The sequence below is a fragment of the Homo sapiens genome, chromosome 2, assembly GCF_000001405.40.
Source record: "Homo sapiens chromosome 2, GRCh38.p14 Primary Assembly".
Classification (NCBI taxonomy): Eukaryota; Metazoa; Chordata; class Mammalia; order Primates; family Hominidae; genus Homo; species Homo sapiens.
The window spans coordinates 127,977,956-128,001,137 of NC_000002.12; the positions used below are offsets into that span (position 1 = coordinate 127,977,956).

General features: G+C 42.8%; 1 protein-coding gene across 20 annotated transcripts in view, besides 1 other annotated feature; it reads right to left on the reverse strand.

Annotated features, from left to right (window-relative positions):
• SAP130 (Sin3A associated protein 130) overlaps positions 1-23,182 on the reverse strand; it is an 86,838-nt gene that overhangs the window by 36,734 nt on the left and 26,922 nt on the right. For 3 of the 20 annotated variants that reach the window (NM_001330299.2, XM_047445819.1, XM_005263767.4), the window contains exons 8-15: positions 22,352-22,496; positions 22,101-22,191; positions 21,786-21,890; positions 18,395-18,536; positions 15,232-15,353; positions 11,609-11,911; positions 8,830-9,007; positions 30-134 (exon numbers count right to left, since the gene is read on the reverse strand). In NM_001330299.2, the coding sequence (NP_001317228.1) occupies positions 30-134; positions 8,830-9,007; positions 11,609-11,911; positions 15,232-15,353; positions 18,395-18,536; positions 21,786-21,890; positions 22,101-22,191; positions 22,352-22,496 (1,191 nt within the window). Of the gene's footprint in view, positions 1-29; positions 135-8,829; positions 9,008-11,608; positions 11,912-15,231; positions 15,354-18,394; positions 18,537-21,785; positions 21,891-22,100; positions 22,192-22,351; positions 22,500-23,182 lie in introns of all 20 variants that reach the window. The other 17 variants (NM_001330302.2, XM_047445820.1, XM_006712748.4 and 14 more) reach the window with 7 other exon arrangements.
• Positions 8,010-8,510: an enhancer, noted in NCBI's record as "H3K27ac hESC enhancer chr2:128743539-128744039 (GRCh37/hg19 assembly coordinates)". NCBI's record gives its function as "activates a minimal SCP1, AML or CMV promoter by ChIP-STARR-seq in naive H9 embryonic stem cells {active_cell/tissue: H9 hESC(naive)}" and the evidence as "EXISTENCE:reporter gene assay evidence [ECO:0000049][PMID:30033119]".

Below are 23,182 nucleotides of genomic sequence, written 5' to 3' on the forward strand. Positions count from 1 at the left end.
AAGAGTGCGAAGAACACTTAGGTGCTCACCCTGCAGGCCTAGGTGACCCAGACGTACTCCGCATAGAGCTTTCCACTCGAGGACTAGCAACATCAGGAGGCTGAGGAGGAATGAGGGTTTTCCGAACTGCCATTCTGAAAGAGACAAGAGACAAACCCGGAGAACAGCAGTCCAAGGGCATTCAAGGCTAAGAAATACAGGATGCACATTTGCCAGGCATACCTAGGACAAAATAAAGCCCTACATTGACTAAGTATTTTTAAAATGGATTTTCATTTTCTCGGATACCACAGACACATTACCAAAAAACTCAAATAGTACACAAAATCTTAAAAAAAAAAAGAGCAGGTCCCTTCCCCATTCCTGCTCACTTCCTGCCAGGCTCCCTCCAGGAAGCAACCATTGTGACTCTTTTAGCCGCTGCTTCTAGCATGCCACATCTCCTTTCTACTTAATGTTATTAACACTGACATCCATATTAAGTGTTTACAATTATTATTATGCCTATGGTGTTTATAAAGACCCCGAAGCCAAGTGAAAAAACCTGATCCAGGAAGAGTTGGAGATCAATTGTGCTGTGCAGCAGAGAGGCCACGTAAGGCTCTGACAGAGAATTATCCATCAGGTTAGCACTTTGAAAACATGAGCAATCTTGACATGTTTAGTTTTGACAGAGTGGTGGGAACAAATACCAGTTGAGAGTGGATCTGAGAGAAAATAACTAGACAGGAATATACCAGTTTACAACACATAATCACTAATGGATCCAGGTACTGATCTTCAGAGCCACTAACATCTCAAAAAGGGTGAGCACCAGACATCATGTGTCTTCTGGTAAGAGACTAATCACCAAACTATGAAGTAGTCTTGCCATAAGAAGAAATTAAAAAAAAGAAAAATCAGATCAAACCTTCAGAGTCAAGTAACAACTTACAGAAAATGTGGAAGATAGAACAAGTGAAATTACTCTACGGGTGCAGTCAGTTGAACTGAGTTCTTTAAGAAGATACATGTAAGTCCCAATCTTTAGTAACTGTGAATGTGACCTTACTTGAAAAAAGGGCCTTTGCAAATGTAATTAAGGATCTCAAGATAAGAGATTCTTAATTACATTTAGATGTAGAGTTTTGGATGTAGAGTTTAGTTTAAAATCCAGTGACAAGTATCCTAGTAACAGAAAGGGAAGGGAGATTTGAGACACAGGTACGAGGGCAAGGCCATGTGACGACGGAGGCAGAGATTGGGGTGCTGTGCCTGCAAGCCAAAGAACACAAAGATCAACAGCAGCCACTGGCAGCCAGCACAAGTGGATTCTCCCTGAGAACCTCCGGGGGAACTGACCCTGATGACACCTTCATTTCAGATTTCTAGCTACTGGAACTATAAGATAATACATGTCTGTTGCCTTAAGCCAGAAGATTTATGGTAGTTTGTTACAGCAGCCCTAGGAAATGAATACATTGGGGATGCCATCAACAAAATCCAGAGGGGGTATGGCCCAGAAGACCAAGTTTCTTCAACAAATAAACTGCAGGAAAAAAAAAAGATAGAGGAAACCTCGATAATAAAATGGCTTTTAAAGTCATATTAACTAATCACAATGTATGCATCTTATCAGAATACTCATTCAAATAGATAATATAAAATATAACAAATTGTGTGACATTTCAGACCATTGGAAACCTGAACAATGACTGGCTATTTGATATTAAGGGGTTATTGGTTTTTTAATGTTATGTATCTCTCCATAGGAACATGCTGAAATACATACAAATGAAATGACATGGTATCTAGGATTTGCTTCAAAATAATATGATACGAGCAGGTAGGTAAGCATATAGGTGAAGCAAAATTAGCCAAGAGCTGATAAGCTGAGAACTAAAGTTGGGTGACAGGCATATATTCCTATGTTCAAAATTTTTTTCTTTTTTTTTTTTTTTGAGACAGAGTCTCGCTCTGTTGTCCAGGCTGGAGTGTGGTGGCACGATCTCAGCTCACTGCAATCTCCGCCTCCTGGGTTCAAGTGATTCTCCCGCCTCAGCCTCCCGAGTAGCTGGGATTATAGGTGCCTGCCACCATGCCCTAGCTAATTTTTGTATTTTTACTAGAGACGGGGTTTCACCATGTTGGCCAGGCTGGTCTCGATCTCCTGACCTCAGATGATCTGCCCGCCTTGGCCTCCCAAAGTGCTGGGATTACAGGCTTGACCCACCGTGCCTGGCCACAGGATTTTCTTATGTTTAAACTTTTCCATAACAAAAATAAGGATAAAAGTTAAAAAAGCAAGACCAACTGCATTGCTGCCAACCCTCCCACCCCCAACACTGGCCAAAAACTAACCAAACCAAAAACAAATTTAAAAAAAAGAACCTAATGCGAAACATCACTATAAACCGACAGAATGACCAAACTCACAAAGACTGCCCAGAACAAGTGTTGGTGAGGATGAAACAATGATTACTCCTGGTGAGAGTGTAAATGGGTAAAACCACGCAGAAAACCATGCTCCATGAAAGTTTAAAACAAGCACACCCTATGACATAGCAAATCCCTCAGTATTTAACAGAAACGTACTCATGCATGAATCAAAAGTCATGCACAAAAATGTTCAGGGTATCATTACAGGAAAACATGGAAGCAACCCAAATAACCATGGATAAAACACGGTACTGTTATACATGGTATTTTATACAATTAAAAAATTACAATCAAGGCCAGGTGCTCACGCATGTAATCCTAGCACTTTGGGAGGCTGAACCAGGTGGAATGCTTCAGCCCGGGAGTTCGAGACCAGCCGGGGCAACATGGTGAAATCCCATCTCTACTAAAAATACAAAAACTGAGGTGGGAGGATCACCTGAGCCTGGGGAGGTAAATGCTGCAGTAAGCTGTGATCGCGCCACCACAGTCCAACCTGGGAGACAGAGTGAGACCCCCATCTCAACAACAACAACAACAAATTCATAGGCAATAATGCAGATGAATTACATAAAACCGAGTGATGAAAGTCAGACTCACACAAAAAAATGCACATCATATGATTCTATCTATCCATTGGTTAGTTACCTTTGGGAAAAGATGTTGGTAACTGTTAAGGTCACCACGACCAGACCATTTCCTTCCCCTCCCACAGGCCTTACAATACAGTCCCTTGCACTCTCCTCACAGCTACCCGAGGGCAAAAGACAAACCCCCACCCCACCCTTCACTGACCCCTCCAGTAACTGTCCAGTTACAGGATGCGGTTAACATGTCTGTTCACCTCGCACAACAAAGCTGGCAAAAAACATCTCCAGGATGCGGGTAAAGACACCTGTACCCGACTCAGCACTCCCACCCTGACCCAGTCCTCCTGCACCCCCAATTCAGCTCCCCCACCCCAACCCAGTCCTCCTGTACCCTCGACTCAGCTCCCTCACCCCGACCCAGTCCTCCTGCACCCCCGACTCAGCTCCCGCACTCCGACCTAGTCCTCCTGCACCCGACTCAGCTCCCTCACCCCAACCTAGTCCTCCTGCACCCCCGACTCAGCTCCCTCACCCCGACCCAGTCCTCTTGCACCCCTGACTCAGTTCCCCCACCCCGACTCAGTCCTCCTGCACCCCTGACTCAGCTCCCCCACCCCGACCCAGTCCTCCTGCACCCCCGACTCAGCTCCCTCACCCTGACCCAGTCCTCCTGCACCCCCGACTCAGCTCCCCCACCCCGACCCAGTCCTCCTGCACCCCCGACTCAGCTCCCCCACCCCGACCCAGTCCTCCTGCACCCCCGACAGCTCCCTCACCCCGACGCAGTCCTCCTGCACCCCGACTCAGCTCCCCTACCCCGACCCAGTCCTCCTGCACCCTCGACTCAGCTCTCCCACCCCGACCCAGTCCTCTTGCACCCGACTCAGCTCCCCGACCCCGACCCAGTTCTGGCCCTACAAAACCCTGCTATAGTCTGTAAGGGGGGCTGCCTCCTCTAACTGTGGTGGAGCAGCCAAGCAGCTCAATAAAGCTTGCTTGCCTGACTTTGGGTCTCCTCATCCTTTCTCTTGGCTGACCTTACAGTAACATTGTTTCTTGACCTATACAGTGGTTGGACACTGTTTATTTTGAGACTATACATGCGTCTGTGACATTTTCTATATACTTCCATGAAAATGATGAAAAAAAGACGGACAGAAGAACTGGACACAGCAAACACAGACAATTTCTTTTTACAAAGAAGAGCAAAAAAAAAAAATTTAGGGTGGTAGATAGTAGAGCAAAGTGAGCTCAACAGAAGGATATTTCATACAGAAGAAATGACGGCATGTTTATACTGTTTATGTGAATGATCTACTAACAAGAAAAAGCTGAGGCCGTAGGAGAGAGGGGGAGAAGAACTAGAGCATCATTCTTGAATAGACAAGAGAGGAGGAGACAGGGCATGTTGGAGAGGAGCCCATAGAGCTTGTCTAGAGGAACAGACAGAGGCAGGACATGGGGTACTGCCACCGTAAGTATTATAGATGTGATAGCTGCAGACTGTGGAAGTTGTCTTTTGATTTTCTTTTTCTCAAAAAAGGAGCAATTTGTCGACTAACAGTGAAGACGGAAGAAGCCTGGGAGTTTTGAGAGAAGGAAACGTAAAATAGTTATCTGGAGTGGTGCAAGAGAGTATACTTTGATGGGCTGCTTTAAGACCTTAGTGCGTCTGCGAGGCTAAGCAAGACCAGTTGGCAAAGTGGCTTTCCCTGCTGCAATTTGCTGTACATGTGCCAGCGTAAATGAAGCAGAAAGTTGGATTTAAGTCTGGTTTTGACAAAGCGAAGTGGGATGGGGGTTAAGGAAATGACTGCAAGTGACCACAGACTCTGAATCAGGAAGAGCAGAGAAAGAGGCCATGAGAGGCAGTGAAGAACATGAAAAGGTGGATCAATGGACTGGAGGCTGCTGGGGTCCCTCTGGAGCTGGAGTTCCATTGGGAGGGAGGTGGGAAGAAAGAAGATGGGCTAGGGGCATGGGAGCACAGAGACAAGGTCAGGAAGGCTCACTGAGCTTATGTGCTAAGTGCCCAAACTGGTGGGGAGGGTGGAGGCAGGAGAAGCATTCAAGCACCTGAGGGGCCAGGGAGCTGGAAAATCATTTCTGATCATTAAAGGTGAAGAGAGGGTTCCACTATCACTAAAAAGTGCCAGACATCATGTCCTTCCAAAAGGCATACAGATACACCTGCAAAATCTAACTTGACTCTGCGCCTCTAGATCTGCCCTGCCCAACAAGAAGGCCATATGGTACTACTGAGCAACTGAAATGTGGCAAGCGCAACTCAGGAACAAAATTTTTAATGTTATTTCATTTTAATTAATTTGAATTTTATAATGGATACTCGATCCAGTTACTGAGAAACTTTTTATTGTCTGGAATAACTTGGCTATGTGAAACTACTTTTTCAACTGTACATTTTATGAAATCTAAATACAGATCAAGTGCTTTTGAGGAGAAATGGTCTGAAAATGGCAGTGAGGCATGACAAGGACACCCTGCCTACCTCCAGGCTGAGTGACAGTAGGGATGTGGAAGAGAGGCAGGGACCACTTTAGACAGCTGCAGGGCAAGTTGAGTCCCAGGTTTAAAGCAAGAAGGCGTGGAGAAAGAAGAGACAAGGGCACTGGGGTGGAGGTTGGAGTGTCATGTGATGACAGGCTGTGAATTAGAGGGCACAGTACAAGGGTCTTTGGGAGGAAGTACGGGAGAAGCAGGCACATCTCTTTGTCTCCAGTGCTGCCAAATTTCAAAATACTGGCCTGAGTTTATTGCATCCATTGAATACTGTGCAGGGCATTTCTGTAACCAGGAAACTCATTTCTTTCAGTTTTGGTAATTTTCTATTACTTTGTTGTTTTTTTTTTTTTTTTTTTTTTTAAACATTTATCTATGTATTCAGAATCACACACAAGTTACCTTTACAGTTCAATTTACTATATAGAAATCATTGGGTTTTATATTTGCAGTTAACTTTTGAACTGAGATTACAATATTATAACAAACTCCTTACTTTGTAATCCCTGTTCCTTTTCTCTGATCTCTCTTGTTGAAACCCATTACCTGGAGGCTGGATTTCCTGACCTGGTTCTTTTTATTGTTGTTTTAAATTTTCTCCTATCGTTTTCTCCAATTTTCTTGTCTTTTTGTTCCACGTTTGAGATTTCTTCAATTTTATCTTCCAACTCTTCTACTGATCTTTCAATTTCTGCTATCTTATTTCAGGACCGGTTCTTTTCTCCTCTGAATGTTCTTTTTGCATAGCACTGTGTTACTGTTTTGTGGATGCAACCTTTTCTTTTGTCTTTCTGAAGGCATCACGGATACTGTTTGCTTATCCTTGCTCATTTGTTTTGTGTTTTATTCTCCCTGCCAGGCCTCTACATCTTCCAAGGTGCTTTGGGCATGTATTTATTGTGGTTTCTGTCTTCCACCGTTAGAGGTCCCCTCAGATATGTGCCTATCTTTGGTTGTATGTTCATGATTAAGAGTCGGGGAGAGGGACTGAAATGCTGGCTGGGAGCTCTGAGCTTTGGAAGGGCATGTCTACTATGAGGTCCACTGTAGGGTAATCTAACCCTGTCCTTAAGGAAGCCCTAGTGTCAGTATCTTTAGAGCTTCCCCTTGGGCTGGATAGACTCCCCAGAAGGAAAGTAGAGTCCTCTTCTCATTTTCTATCTAGAATCAAGTTCACCTGCCAGAGTTCTATCAGCTGAAAGCAGGGAGTGGACTGGGAAGTGTTCAGCACTCCACACACACACGGTGAGTCACAATCTCTTTCTGGTAAAATACTCATGACCTCTATAGTGCTGGGTGACCCTAGCGGACCATCTGCAGAGTTTGAACTTTCAGGCTCCTGCTAAAGTCGGGAAGGGGCAGTACACCACATGGCATAGGTAGAAAATGGGATTCTGGGCTCTAACTTTAACACTTTTCAAACTCAAAGGTTTTAACTTATCCTCCTTAAAGGACAGAGCCCCTTCCTTCGCCCCCAGGATTTGCCTGTTGTTGGTCCTTTTGAAGATTTTCCAATTTTAAAAGAGGATGGTTCTCAACTTTCCCCTACGCAAGCTTCACATTTAGCTTTCTCAGAGCCAGGACGCCATCGCGTGATGGTCTGCTTCCCAGCTTCAGTTGCTACTGTGTCCTCTCCTGTTCTCCCCATCCTTGTGTGTTTACAACTTTTTTGAAAAAAAGTTATATAGGGTTATGAGACAGAAAGATTTTAGATGTGTGTAATCAATCTGTCATCTTAACCACAAGCTTTGCCTTGTGTTTTTACTAATAAGGTAACTTTGTCATGGACTGACTTATCCTTTAAAAAAGTACAAAGTATTCATAAACAGCAAAGATAGGGACTCTGGTATATGCACAGCTCTGTGCAAATAAAAACCCTGCATGGACCCTAGTCCCAGCAATTTAAGTTTGCACTTGCTTTAATCTTTTGATGTTGATGCTATTAGCTCAGCTGAGCCACAGAAACTCTGCTCTCTGAAACATGTCTGCTCATCTCCCACCTCCAGAATGTTTAACTCAAACAGCACAGCACATACCTTCCTGCCTATGATCCACCAACTGAGAAGCTTACATGGCAACACAAAACACTATCTGCTACCAAATATGACCCTTACTACACTTCAGAATTTGTTTGCCCACAGTGACATAGAAGGGGAGTAGGGAAGTGCTGGGAAGGGGCGGGTCCCTGGTGAGGGCTCCACCCCCAGCCTGTGCCCACGGATCTAGGTGAGGACAGGCATTTTTGTTTTCCTGCCCAAATGTTGCATTTCCCCCAGACCACCCTGGCCTGCTACGCCCTGATCCTGTGCCTGTAAAAACCTCCGAGACCCTAGCAGACAGGCACACAAGTGGCTGGACGTCAAGAGGAACGCATTGGCAAAAGACACAAGCAGCTGGACGGCGAGAGGACAGCAAGGGGAGCATGCCGGTGGAAGAGCACATGACAGACGCTGGCATGCCAGCAGGCCCCCGACCAGCAGAACGACGCAGTTTGGCCAGGGCAGTCAAGAGAGCTGGGGCCGCTCCATCTCCCTTCTGGCTTCCCCCATCTGCTGAGAGCTACTTCTACTCAGTAAAACCCTACACTCATTCTCCAAGCCCACGTGTGATCCCATTCTTCCAGTACACCAAGGCAAGAACCCTGGGATACAGAAAGCTCTCTGTCCTTGCCATAAGGCAGGGGTCTAATTGAGCTGGTTAATGCAAGCCATCTATGGATGGCTAAACTAAAAGAGCACTCTGTAACACATGCCCACTGGGGTTTCAGCTGTAAACATTCACCTCTAGACACTGCTGTAGGGTTGGAGCGACACAGCCTGCCTGTCTGTATGCTCCCCTAGAGGTTTGAGTAGCAGGGCAATGAAGAAGCGAGCCACTCCCACTGTTGCACGCCCTGCGAGGGGGACAAGGGAACTTTTCCCGTTTCAACAGCAACGATTCATGCTGAATGAAGTTTATAGTATGAGTTAAGGTAACTACCTACACAAGCCCAAGAGTTACTTATAAACTACTTTAAAAGTTCTATGATTGAAGTTCCAGAACTAGAGAGAATTAAAGCAGTATGCAACAGATGCTTACAAACTAACACCTCACTGACTCCAGGATTTGTTAAGATCTTACAGTCTCAGCTGGGTAAGGCTCTACTGAATAATCCTGTGGTCAAGTTGTTTTGGAGGAAATTTTAACACACCACAGAAAATGAGAGATGAGTTTGATACCAGCATTAGATAAGAGTGCCTATTATGTATACCAGTTATATCCAGAACCAGAGGTGTCATTCGGCACTACCAGGTCTACTCACCCATCTGTGGCAGGTTTCTTCCGGAGTATGCTTGGCCGTGGCGATGAGCCCTGGGCGGGAGCGTTGGTGCTAGCACTCTGGCTGTGGGTCTGCACCACGGTTGTTGCTGCTGGAGCAGCACTGAATGGATTGCTAATAGGGTTGGCCACAATTGTGGCTCCATCTGCCAACACCACTGCTACAGGAGAGAGGCAACAGGAAAGAACATTGAAGAGAGGGAAACAAAATGCCATAGAAGACATAAATAAAAATGATGAGACCACTAGAATTAGGTATCCATGTTCTAACTGTCCAATTTCAAACTGATAAGGGACAGGAGCACAATGTTCATCCGACAAAGAGCAGATAGCTAAATGGGAGCAGTTACTAAGTCTACTGATGCATGATCCATACCATTATTTTTTCTTTTTCTTTGTTTGAAAGAGAGTCTTGCTCTCTTGCCCAGGCTGGAATACAGTGGTGCAATCTCAGCTCACTGCAACCTCCACCTCCCAGGTTCAAGTGATTCTCCTGCCTTAACCACAAGAGTAGCTGGGATTACAGGCGTGCACCACCACACCTGGATAATTTTTGTATTTTTTAGTAGAGACGGGGTTTCACCGTGTTGGCCAGGCTAGTCTCGAATTCCTGACCTTAAGTGATCCACCTGCCTTGGCCTCCCAAAGTGCTGGGATTACAGGCGTGAGCCACCACACTTGGCCCATACCATTATTTTTTCTTTGCTCTATAATCACAGTTACTAATAAATGAGATAAGGTGAACAAAGTACATAGTATCTAGTATAGTCTCTCACTCTACTAGTTACTTTACATTTTTTACTGATATAATTCTTACCATCATTGTAATTTCCATTTTAGAGATAAGAAAACTGACAGACAAGAAAGGCTTAATACAAGAGCCACAAATAGAAAACACTATCTACCAGCCTGATAGCATGCTCCAATGTACACTTCAAGAAATGTACTCATTCAGTTTTTGTAAAATACCAATCTCTCTCAACCCTCAATAATGGTACCCTCCCCAGTCTATCTTTAGAAACACATTCAACTAACAGATATTTTAACTATACACTTAAAGTTAGCATCAAAATACTGGTGAGCATGAGATCATAATCAGAAAATACCTGTGTTTGACAGTTTTTGACCTATAAAAATGGCAATTTCATAGGAGTCAACTTAATATCATGAGTTTTCTGGCAGGTGCCCTTAAATATGTAGTACACCATCCTACCGGGTGGGTCATCATGGGTAAATTGCATCTCTATCATAGACATTTAGTTTAGTAATAAAAAATCAGAGAGACTTTGATTAAATAGTTGAATTCAAGGTCTACAGAACAATTAAAATTCATAGCTCCAGCCAGGCACAGTGGCTGATGCCTGCAATCGCAGCACTTTGGGAGGACAAGGCTGAAGGATAGCTTGAACTCTGGAGTTCGAGACCAGCCTGGGCAACAAGCAATATCCTGTTTCTACAAAAAATCAAAAATAATTACCCAGGTGTGGTGGCATGCACTTGTAGTCCTTGCTACACGGGTGTCTGAGGCATAAGGACTGCTTGAGCCCAGAAGGTCAAGGCTACAGTGAGCCATGATTGTACCACTGTGTTCCAGCTGGGCAACAGAGTGAGTGAGACCTTGTCTTTTTAAAAAAAAAAAAAAAAAAAAAATCAGTGCCTTGGCTGAGAAACAGCCATTTTGTTTTTTTAAACTACATTAGAGAAATGGCTAATCAATAATAATCCAAGTACATGGAATCTTAAATTCAGCCAAAAAAAAAATAACCTAGCTGGTGTAATGACTCATGCTTGTAATCCCAGCACTTTGTGAGGCCAAAGTGAGTAGACTACTTGAGCCCAGGAGTTTGAGACCAGCCTGGGCAACATGGCAAAACTCTGTCTCTATTAAAAATACAAAAATTAGCCAGGCATGGTAGCTTGCACCTATAGTCCCAGTTACTCAGGCGGCTGAGGTGGGAGGATCACTTGAGCCCAGGAGGATGAGGCTGTGGTGAGCCAAGATCACACACCACTGCACTCTAGCCTGGGTGACAGAGTGAGAATCTGTCTCAAAAAGATCTAAATACAGTGACTTATTCCATTTTTCAAAATGTTATTCCACTAGTATTTCTTTTTAAGAATTCATAATATTAGCTAACATCAGCATAAGGTTTTACAGCTTTATGTACAACTCTGAAGAAAATCTTCAATGAGAATACTACTTATAAGGTGAATTTTTTCCCACAACTAGGAGCTTTTAAAAAAGATAACACTTCTCATTATGTTCAAATGAATACTAGGGCTGTTGATGTATACTGTATCTTTTTTTTTTTTTGGAGACAGAGTCTCACTCTGTGGCCCAGGCTGGAGTGCAGTGGCGTGATCTCGGCTCACTGCAAGCTCCACATCCCCAGTTCACGCCATTCTCTCGCCTCAGCCTCCCGAGTAGCTAGGACTACAGGCCCCCGCCACCACGCCTGGCTAATTTTTTTGTATTTTTAGTAGACAGGGTTTTACCACGTTAGCCTGGATAGTCTTGATCTCCTGACCTCGTGATCCACCCGCCTCAGCCTCCCAAAGTGCTGGGATTACAGTGAGGTATATTATTTCTAACGTTTACAGTGACCCTGAAACTCTAAGTTCTAAGCAACTCATATTATTAATACAAAGAAGAAAAGGCCTAGAGAAATTATAAGACGACAAAGCCAGTGGCAGAGAAAGGATTTAAACCCAAATGTATTTCTTTTCTCCAAACCACCTTCTATGCAAAAATTTAAAATTACCTGAAGTCTTTCCTTCAGGCTGAGGCTGCTGAGTACCCATAGGTGCAGGCTGAAGCCCTTGTGTGTTGATTGGGGTTGCTGAGTGAATTCCCTGTGTGCCAAGTGGTGCAGGCTGTATCCCTGGGGTCCCAATGGGGGCCGGCTGGATACCCTGGGTACTGATGGGTGCTGGCTGGATCCCTTGAATATGTCGAGCATGCGATGCATCCACTGTCATCAACTGCATGGGGTTTAGGTGGACGGTAGACGCTACCCCAACACCAGTCTGAGCTGTGATGGCAGAGTTTGGAGCCTGAGCTGAAACTAAAAATGATGCGAAAGGTAACTATAAGAAGGTTAGCTTCATTTCACACAGTCCACATAAAGAGAGAAACACTAAAAACGGATTTCCTCCACTGTATAAGATCTAAATCCATGGTTTGAAAAAAAATAAATAAATAAACATTGTTACTTGAAACTTACTATACTTGGGATTGTTATTTCCTTTCACTTCCTACCAATATGATGTTGTTTTTCTACAGACTACTAGAAATATGATTAAAACAAGAAAAAAGGCAATCAGCTATTAAATTGCAAATATTAGCCAGGAAACCATGCTAAATAATTAATATAAAACGTCAGAAATACACCCAGAGGTCCCAGGTCAAGAACCTCTGCTTTAATTGATAGGGCCACTATCACAGGTGGTTTTGAAATACAGTAGTTATGAATTTCAAATGGCATGTATCCACCAGAAACAGAGAACAAGCAAGTGTCCTGTGTCTTACAAGGCAAACACCCCATCTACTGTGTATATTGAAAAAAAAAAAAGAAAACAAGAGCATTCACAGAAAGCAACAAAAAAGGAGGAATTTCTTACTATCTGTGGAAAGAAAATAAACACAGAGGACTTTTTCCTCAGTCATCAAAACAATCCAGAGATGTTGGAACTTGTTTTCAAAGCTATTTAAATATCTTACACTTATAAGCTACCTTTTCCCTAAATAAACAAGTATCTTACAATGTTTGAAATTTTAGACCGGCACTGTTCAATGGCATAGTGGGTCACTCACACAACTTTAAATTTGCCAGTGGCTACAATAAAAAAGTAAAAACAGCCCGGTGTGATGATTTGTACCGATGATCCCAACGCTTTGGGAGACTGAGGTATGAGGAATGCTTGAACCCAGGAGTTGGAGACCAGCCTGGGCAACATGGCAAGACCCTATCTCTATAAAAAATTAAAGAATTAGCTTGGCATCATAACACATGCCTGTGGTTCCAGCTACTCAGGAGGCTGAGATGGGAGGATTCCCTTGAACTCAGGAATTTGAGGAGGCAGTGAGGTATGATTGCACCACTGCACCCAGCCTGAGTGACAGAGAAAGACTGTCTCAAAAAAAAAAAAAAAAAAGTAAAAGAAACAGGCCAGGCACGGTGGCTCACGCCTGTGATCCCAGCACTTTGGGAGGCCGAGGCAGGCGATCATTTGAGAGCAGGAGTTCAAAACCAGCCTGGTCAACAGGGTGAAACCCCATCTCTACTAAAAATACAAAAATTAGCTGGGTGTGCTGGCGCATACCTATAATACTATCCACTGGGGACAGTGAAGCAGGAGAATCACTTGAAGCTGGGAGGTGGAGGTTGCAGTGAGCCAAGATCACACTACTACACTCCAGCCTGGGCAACAGAGTGAAACTCCGTCTCAAAAAAAAAGAGACAGACCAAATTAATTTTGATCATATATTTTATTTAACCCAATATATTCAAAATATTACCATTTCAATATGTCATTAATAAACATTTTTTTTGGGACAAGGGTCTCGCTTTCTTGACTAGACTTGAGTGCGGTGGTGCAAACAACATGGCTCACTGCAGCCTCAACCTCCTGGGGCCAAGCAATCCTCCTGCCTCAGCCTCCCAAGCAGCTGGGACTACAGCACGCACCACACCATGCCTGGCTAATTTTTGTATTTTTGGTAGAGACTAGGTCTCATCTAGCTTGATCTCAAACTCCTGGTCTCAAGCGACCTTCCTCCTCAGCCTCCCAAAGTGCTAGGGTTATAGGCATGAGCCACCGCACCTGGCCTAAAAATTCTTAACAAGATATTTTACATTCTCTTTTCTATATTATGTCTTCAAAATCTAGGGTATATTTTACTCTTCGAGTACATCTCATGAATTTTTATCAGAAATGCTTAATCTGTATTTTGATTTCATAAAGCCTACAACTGAAAAAGTAGTTTTGCATTGCTAAGTTGTTCCAAACATACTTGAAATTTCTTGAAATTAAACAAAATTAACAATCGAGTTTTTCATGTACTAATCTACTTCAAGTGCTCTGTGGCCACACATGCCGCTGGCTGCCATATAGCACCGTGTGGCAGGAGGGCAATGTCCACAATCCAGGCAGCAATAACACTTTCTTTTGTCTTTTTTGTTTTTTTGAGACAGGCTCTCACTTTGTTACCTAGGCTGGAGTGCAGTGGCGCCATCATGGCTCACTGCAGCTTCAACCTCCTAGGCTCAGGCAATCCTCCCACCTTAGCTTCCTTAGTAGTTGGGACTAGAGGCACGCACCACCATGCCCACCTAATTTTTTAATTTTTTGTAGAGATGGGGTCTCCTTATATTGCCCAGGCTGGTCTCAAACTTTTGGGCCCAAGTGATCTGCCCACCATGGCCTCCCAAAGTGCTGGGATTACAGGCATCAGCCACAGCGCCCGGCCCCAGGCAATAAGGCTTTTTTTTTTTTTTTGAGATAGTTTCACTCTGTCACCCAGACTGGAGTGCAGTGGCACAATAGTGGCTCACTGCAGCCTCCGCCTCCCAAGTTCAAGTGATTTTCCTGCTTTATCCTCCCAAGTAGCTGGGATTATAGGCATGTGCCACCGTGCCTGGCTAATTTTGTATTTTTAGTAGAGACAGGGTTTCTCCATGTTGGCCAGGCTGGTCTCGAACTCCTGACCTCAAGTGATCTGCCTGCCCTGCCTCAGCCTCCCAAAGTGCTGGGATTACAGGCATGAGCCACTGCACCTGGCTGGAAATAAGGCTTTCTGATGCCCAGAGTGACCTGAGGGTTCCACAGTAAAAGACTACACAGACTCTGACATTTAAGGATTGTTTTTCCTGGATTAGCAAAAAGAACACTATTCACACGTCATCATGATGAGAGGAGAGCATAACAACTAAAAAACATATAACTGGTACACCAAATCCCTGTGCATGCAATTTATCAATATAACAAACCTGCACAAGTACCATGGAACCTAAAGTAAAAGTTATTATAAACAAACCTTTATAAATTTTTTAAAAATATAGCCAAGATTTGCATAAAACAATGGAAACCCTATAAAAGTGCAGCTCTATTCATTGTAACTACTGTCATTTTAAGGAGTAACAAAAATTGTTAACATGAGTATCCTCAGGGTGGCATAATACTATGCAAATATCACTAATGAGTAACAACTTTTATAGATCACAAAGATGATTATTTAAGACCTTCAAGCTTCACATTTTATCTGAATCTGAAAACAGAAGCTGAAATAATTAATCTCATACAAAAAATAACCCCTCATCAATTTCTACATTATTGTTGGCAAAAGTTAAACTGTGAAAAGTCATCTAAAAAGCAGGGCTCATACCTGGATACTGTCGGATAGTGGACACGGAACTGGTGATTGGGGTGTAGGTATGTGCCGCCAGTGGGTATGCAGAAGGGGGGTAAGTTGGCAAAAAATATTGGAACTGAACGGGAACAGACGGTCTAGAGACAGAACAGATGATAGCAAACAAAATAGTCATTTTCTTCTTTACTTTCAAATGATCCTATACCCCAGTTCCTCTTTGTGTCCTTCAGAACTGTCAAACAAGCTTTGCTCAAATTGTGTCCCAAACAAACTCTTACATCACAGGACACACACCAAGAATGCAAAATTAAAAAAAAAAAAAGTGGATACTATAAATACCTATATCAATAAATGTAAAAACATAGATAATATTCTATGGGTGATTTTTGAGAGTAAGTCTGAAAACCAGTTCACAAAATCTCAGTAATCAAATCTTCCCTGCTCAATTCCTCATGAACTACACTCAACTCAAATTGGTTTTACTGGCCAATTTCATTAAAAATACATAAAACAAATAATCCCAATTTCATTCAAACTGCTTCAGAAACAATGGAAAGAAAAAATGGGATCCAATTTATTTTTATTTTTTTAGAGACAGGGTCTTGCTATGTTGCCCAGGCTGGAGCGTAGTGGTTATTCACCAGCACAATCATGGTACACTATAACCTTGAACTCCTAGGTTCAATCAAGCCTCCTGCCTCAGCTGCCTGAATTCTGGGACTACAGACATGTGCCACCGTACCTGGCTCCTAGTTTAGTTTTTGAGCTTAATATAGCCTTGTTACTAATATTGGAACAGGAGAATATGACAAAAGAAAGATTATAAACAAATCTAACTCACTACAACAACAAAAAAACCTACATAAAATTGAATTAAGTACCATATAAAGTTAAATACATCATGATCAAATAAAGTTTATCATAGGGAGAGAAATACTTCAACATCAAAATGTCTATTCATGTTTTAGATAAATTTTAAAAATTAAAAGAGAACAATAATTTAAAACCTAAAAGATAAAAATATTCGACAGCAGTCAATAGTTATTCATGATATAAATGCCTAAGAAAATAGAAGTAGGCCAGGCACAGTGGCTCATGCCTGCTATCCTAGCACTTTGGGAGACTGAGGCAGGTGAATCATTTGAGCTCAGGAGTTCGAGACCAGCCTGAGCACTCTGGGAGGCTGAGGCAGGCAGGCTATTTGAGGCCAGAAGTTCAAGACCAGCCTGGCCAACATGGCGAAACTCCGTCTTCTACTAAAAATACAAAAATTAGCCAGGTGTGGTGGCACACGCCTATAATCCCAGTTACTCAGGAGGCTGAGGTATGAGAATCACTTGAACCTGGGAGGCAGGGATTGCAGTGAGCCGAGACTGCACCACTGCACTACAGCCTGGGCAACAGTGTGAGACCTCATCTCTACAAAAAATAAAAAAACTTCGCCAGGCATGATTGCATGTGCCTGCAGTCCCAGCTACTCGGGAGGCTGAGGTGGGAGGATCATTTGAGCCCGGAAGTCGAGGCTGCAGTGAGTTATGATGGTGCCACTGCACTCCAGCCTGGGCAACAGAGCAAGATCCTGTCTCAAAAACAAAACATAAAAACAAATGAAAATGATAAGACCCTCTTGCTTTCCCCTCAAACTGTCCTTATTTGTAGGCAAAATAAACATGTACATAGGAAATTCATAAATCTATAAACATTTAGAGCTAATTTACAGAATTATTTAGAGAATCTATAAACATTTAGAGCTAACAGGAGTATTCAACAAGGGGGATGGACATATCAATGTATCAAAATCTGTAAGCATTCCTAGACACAAATGATCAAATTAGAACACTTAACAATAACCTGTTTTTGAAACTACTTTGTGTATACTGTATAGGGTTCTTTATGGGAGAGGCAGATACAAACATGGAATGGGGGAAGCGATGGGGTTGAACTAGAGATATCAGCATGAACTCAAATGTTCTTAAAATATTATATACTTTCTACCTCTGCCTGCTCAAAGGGCCTAGAAGAATGACAACCCATAGCAACAAGCAGGGCTAATGCCCAGATCTTGGTTTGTAAATGACAAGGGGCTCCTTGGAGAAACAGCAGATTTCACAGCCAGACAGATAAAGTTCAATAGGAATCTAGAATATCTCGTCATTGGAAAATAAGGAAAGGCTAGAATAGAGGGGATGGGGCGAAATCCACAGAAGCAGACAGAAAGAACCCCCAAAGACCAAATGAGATCATGTGAGCACCAAAATAGATGACAGCAATGGATTCTAATAATGAATAAAAGCAAATCTACAAGGCCGAGCCGATTAAAAAACAGTAAAATGCTCAACATAATAAATAAATGGGGGTGGATAAGAGAAAGTTTCTTTACGTCAGAATGCCAGCTAATATATATAGACAACACGTTAGAAAAACTCACTATTTTGCAACTATCATATTAATAATTGATTCAGCCAGGAATTAATAATAGATCTACAACTATTGAATGAATGTTTACTGGAGAACAGGATATTTATACTCAGATATTTCCATACAGATTACTTGTTTACAAAGGAGAAAAACATGCTTTTCCAGTAGAAAAAACCAGCAAACATCACCTTCACTAAGTAATGAATGTTAACATAACCAATACGGGAAAAACAGACAGCATGAGCTCTCTGATGCAATGGGAAGAACACACTGCTTACCTGGTATAACCTGAATGTAACCATGAAGAAACAACGTGACAGTACCAAATTCCCTAAAACAACTGGCCTCTCCACACTCTTTAAAAATATCCATGAGTGAAAGAGAAGGGAGAGCTCGGAATCCTTTCAGATAGCTGTACCGCGGTGACATCAAAGAATGTCTTTACTCTTCCGTGCTACAAATGGAGGTACTTACGGATAAATGGTCATAATGCTGCAACCCTTACTCTCAAAATGGCCAAAAAATGTTAAACACACAAAACCCAAAAAATGGATACTAGGAAAACATCCATCAAAAGGAGACTGGCTTGAAAAAAATCGCACATAAAAAAAGGAATTATACGAAGTGTTACTTTCAGGGGAAAATCTGAAAACATGAGTAATAAATATAGGCCATATTTGTGGGACACTTTGTTTTATGCTGATAAAGCAGAACGATTAATGACACAGTGAGGCAGAATAACTGACACACAGCCTCCTACCTGTTGTCACTTCGGGTTTCCATGGCCACAGGATTGGGAGAGGCCCGATGTCCGGAGATGGGAATCAGGCTACTCCTCTCGGCAGGGTAGTCTGGCTGGATCCGAGGAGAAGTGTGCGTGATCTGCTGGGGCACCACCTTGGCTGCAAACAGTAAATGCCAATTCCATGACCATTCTACACTTTTTTTTGGCATGCCAAAACATTCTTGGCTAGCAGCAATCTTAGGAAAGCAAACAATTAAAATAAGCCTGGATTTTTAATCAAAATAAAAAATGAAAAATAAGTACAAAGTTCAACAGAATTATTTCAATCCTATCATTCACTGATATACTCCTACTGTTATTAAAGCAGGGTTCAACATTAATACTGAAACAAAGATAGAAGTGACCAGGCTCTTTTCTCCCAACCTGGCTTTTTAATGACAGATGCGGTGGCTCACATCTGTCATCTCAGCACTGTGGGAGGCTGAGGCGGGAGGATCACTTGAGTTCAGGAGTTCAAGGCTACAGTGAGCCATGACTGCACCACTATACTCCAGCCTCACTCACAGACTGGGACCCTGTCTCAAAATAAATAAATAAACACACAATTTTGGATTAAAAAACGGAAAAAACAAACAAACAAAAAACCTTGGATTCTACTCCAGGTCCATAATTATAAAATGTAGCTAATTAGCAATGAGAAAACGACTTTAATTCCCAAGTCTGTTTCTTTACCTATAAGGACACCTTCTCTAGATCACTTAATAATTTCTAAGGTCCTTTGAATGTCCTACGATTTTATATAATACTTTAGAGCAAAATTAAAATCAATGACCATAGAGTTTTCAAATTCAATCTGAGGCTCCAAATGTGTACTCCTTTAAAACTTGCAATCCAATTTTGTTTGGAAGGTATAGCTGAACTAGAATACACTTGACACTATTTTTTATAGATCTATCTATTAACAGTATGCCTGGGAATTCAGAAAGAAAAGCCATGATCTATATCAGAAATATAGACAGACAGCTTCCATCTTTGTAAAAACCCGTTACACCAGTGAGAGGCACATTAACAAAGAGACTAGACTAGGAGGATGCCAACATATTACCCTAAATGCAGAACATTTAACACCAAAGGTAAGCTGCACAGACCCACTGTGATGCCCAGCCAGCTCCTGTGGGAGGCAGCTGGAGAAGTTTTCGCAGGGTGATAACAGGAATGCCCATCTGACCACTGAAGATCGCATCTATTGGCCAATGCAAAGAGAAGTTGGCATGATAGGGTTTTCCATCAGGGAGGTAAGCAGTGGGGATGGTGAGCAGGGGGCAACTAAGCCTTGTTTTTTTCACTGAGCCCCATGAAAGGTAGAAGAAAATGATGCTTCCAGTAGGAATGAAGCTGCCATGTGACAGAGTAGCTAACCAGCGGTTGGTAACCAGACATACCCCACCACTCAGCCATTAATTTAAATCTTTGTTTTCTAATTTAAAAAGCCATAAAGGCTGGATGCAGTGGCTCATGCCTATAATCCCAACACTTTGGGAGGCCGAGGCGAGCAGATCAACTGAGGTCAGGAGTTCGAGACCAGCCTGGCCAACATGGTGAAACCCTGTTTCTACTAAAAAGACAAAAATCAGCCAGGCGTGGTGGTATGTGCCTGTGATCCCAGCTACTCGGAAGGCTGAGGCAGGAGAATTACTTGAACCTGGGAGATTGCAGTGAGCTGAGAGCATGCCACTGCACTCCAGCCTGCATAATAGAGTGAGACTCCATCTCAAAAAAAAAAAAAGAAAAAAAACCATACATTCTCAATAGTTAAATAAAAACCAAGGAACTATATAGCACAGAAAACATTAAGTCTGCCATAATGTTATCTCCAAAACTTATCCCTATTTTCTGAATGATGTGATCACCAGATTTTGCTTTCCATAATTCTGAGAACATGATCATATGTTGACCAGAACATGAAGAAAATAAGAATGGTATTCCATTGGAATAGAGGCAAAAACCTTATACTTGTGATTTATTAGGCTTTTTTTCTGAGCCAACATATTCCTAATAAGAATAGCTGAATTCGATTTAATATCACCTGGAGAGGGCAAGCTCACTTGGAAAAAGTCACTTAGGTGATTTTAATATGTATGTTTTACTTCCCAACTTGAAAATCAGTGGTCTAGGGTTATATCAGGTTTCCCTTCTCAACTGAGCTACCTTTCTTAGAGAGATCCTATTATAATACAGAAATATTGGGGTTAGCATAAAAGAGAAAAACAAAATGACAGCATAAACCCCATGGAACATAGGAATACATGTATGTACGTTTCCTGGTACTTTTTAGTGAGTCTACTTCCACAGTGGGATCTCTTAGGAAGATAGAAGGACATTCACAAGAACCAATCTCTAAAAAATTCTTCATGGTGGAGGGTCAGGAGGAAACTAGACAGTCCCTCTGGGCCACAAGGGCCCCTCTTTATTGGTCTGACTTTCGATCATAGATACAAATACCCGAGTGAGGCTCCTGACTTGATAAACGTTAAGCGTCTGGGCTTGGCTCTGCCGTGATAGCACTCAGGAGAGCTGATGACGCAGGCAGAGGAAGGAAATGGGCTGAGATGGCAATATGGACAATTTACTACCTTTTCAACAGGTGTGTTATGCTAAACAGATACAAACAAAACAAACTTCTTTTGACAAATATGAATTAAATTCAGAAGGTTACGGGAAAAATTTGGTCTCTCCAATGGCAAGTCATGGTGAGCAGTGATGCAGAAAAGACCCAATAGTAGCACCCTCTGTGCTAAAAGACTTCTGTGAGGCTGAGCACCTACTTAAGGGCTGGTGTAGGCTGGTCACCCTAGAACAGGAGTAGGGACTTCCTGGGTACTACCATTATTCCAGAAAATGGGCTTCAAAGTTTGCTCAGAGGGGCTGGAACCCACACTTTACGTCCAGTCACCAGTATGTCAGGGTGTCCTCTTCACAAAAACTGCCTTATCTCAGCTGAGTGCGGTGGCTCATGCCTGTAATCCCAGCACTTTGGGAGGCCGAGGCGGGCAGATCATGAGGTCAAGACCAGCCTGGCCAACGTAGCGAAACCCCATCTCTACTAAAAATACAAAAAAATTAGCCAGGCATGGTGGCATGTGCCTGTAGTCTCAGCTACTTGGGAGGCTGAGGCAGGAGAACTGCTTGAACCCAGGAGGTGGAGGTTGCAGTGAGTCGAGATCACGTCACTGCACTCCAGTTTGGGCAACAGAGTGAGACTTAAGGAAAGAAAAAGAAAAGAAAAAAAAAAAAAAGAGGAAATCAACAATGGTAAAAATCAATACTAGCCATCACCATGAAGGCCTAGTCTGAGGGGTTACAGCACTCCTGGTAAGCTTCTGTCCGAAGGCAGCAGGCCACTTACCGACTGGGATGTTTGAGGTGGTCACAGCAGTAGCATGGGAGGAATGGGAGGGTACTGTCATGGTAACAATGGTACTTGTGGGAGCTTGCGTGTGTGACACAGATCCTGAAATAGGGGAAAAAAGGAAATTCTTTAACAAGAACTTCTCTGCACACGTTACAGATTCTCAAAAACCTGGGAAATCTCCTGGAAAAAGTTAAGAGAATTTTTCTAGCCCGTTGTTTTTCTCTGACTGAAGGTGAGAAATGAAAAATTAACCCATCACTCTTGCCTCCTTTTTCCCCAGTAGAAGGAAGAGGAGGGTCGTGGACTTACCAGCTGTGGTCGCTGAAGGAATGGTGTTGGTTGCCAAAATAGGTGCTACTGTGGCTGCAGCCACTGGCGTGCCAGTACTGAAGATTGTTTTCTGTGAGGGAAACCCCACAACACAGTTATAAGAACATTATCCACTGCGTCCAGGGTAAACACAATCAATGCCTTCGGTATCACCAGGCCCTCAGCACATTTTGCCCACTTTTGGTTTTACCCAACAAAGTACACAGGTGGTTCTCCACTTTTGGTTTTACCTGAGCCATTGTATGAAGCTGCTGTTTTGGCGTCCCTAATGCAGGGTGAGATGGTAGTGTGATTCTTGTTGTGACATCTCGTGACTGGGCAGGACGCTGAATACTGATTGCTGCAGATGGAGGATGCTGGATAGACAAGGTTGGCCTACTGAAAAGATAACAAAGACACAATGCAGATGGGCAAGGTCATTTACAATCTTCTCCTAGGTTAGTCATGCAAGTTATACTTTTTCATAGGTCTATGAAGTTCGGAGTTAAACCAATACTTGGTCTTTAATCACACCAATGTGGCAAAAGGTGCACTGAGTTTGTCTTGTTTTAAAAGGCATCAATTTGTACCACAAACTGAAGAAATTAACCCTTACTTGTTCTCAGAATCCTTGATGTAGTTAATCAACACTCCGTAACAAACTTGAGTTAATATCATTATAATAATTGCACTTCAGGTCAGGTGCGGTGGCTCACACCTGTAGACACAGTGCTTTTGGGGGGCGCAAAGGCTGAAGGATAGCTTGTGCCCAGGAAGTCAGGGTTACAGTGAGCGATGACTGCCACTGCACTCCAGCCTGGGGGACAGAGTAAGACCTTGTCTACATAAAAAATAAAAATAAAATAATTGCACTGAACTCTGTGGATAAATCTGAAAATATACTATAAATTTACATGCTGTAAGTTTTTGACAAATTTCCTGAAGAAAGATCAGAGACAATTTGGATTAACAGCAGCTTAAACTATGACCCTTGAAGCATGGACCTTCCTCCCAATTTTACATCATTCCTTAGCAAATGTAAGAACACTCCTAAAATGATAAAAAGTTAGTTATGGCTGCCT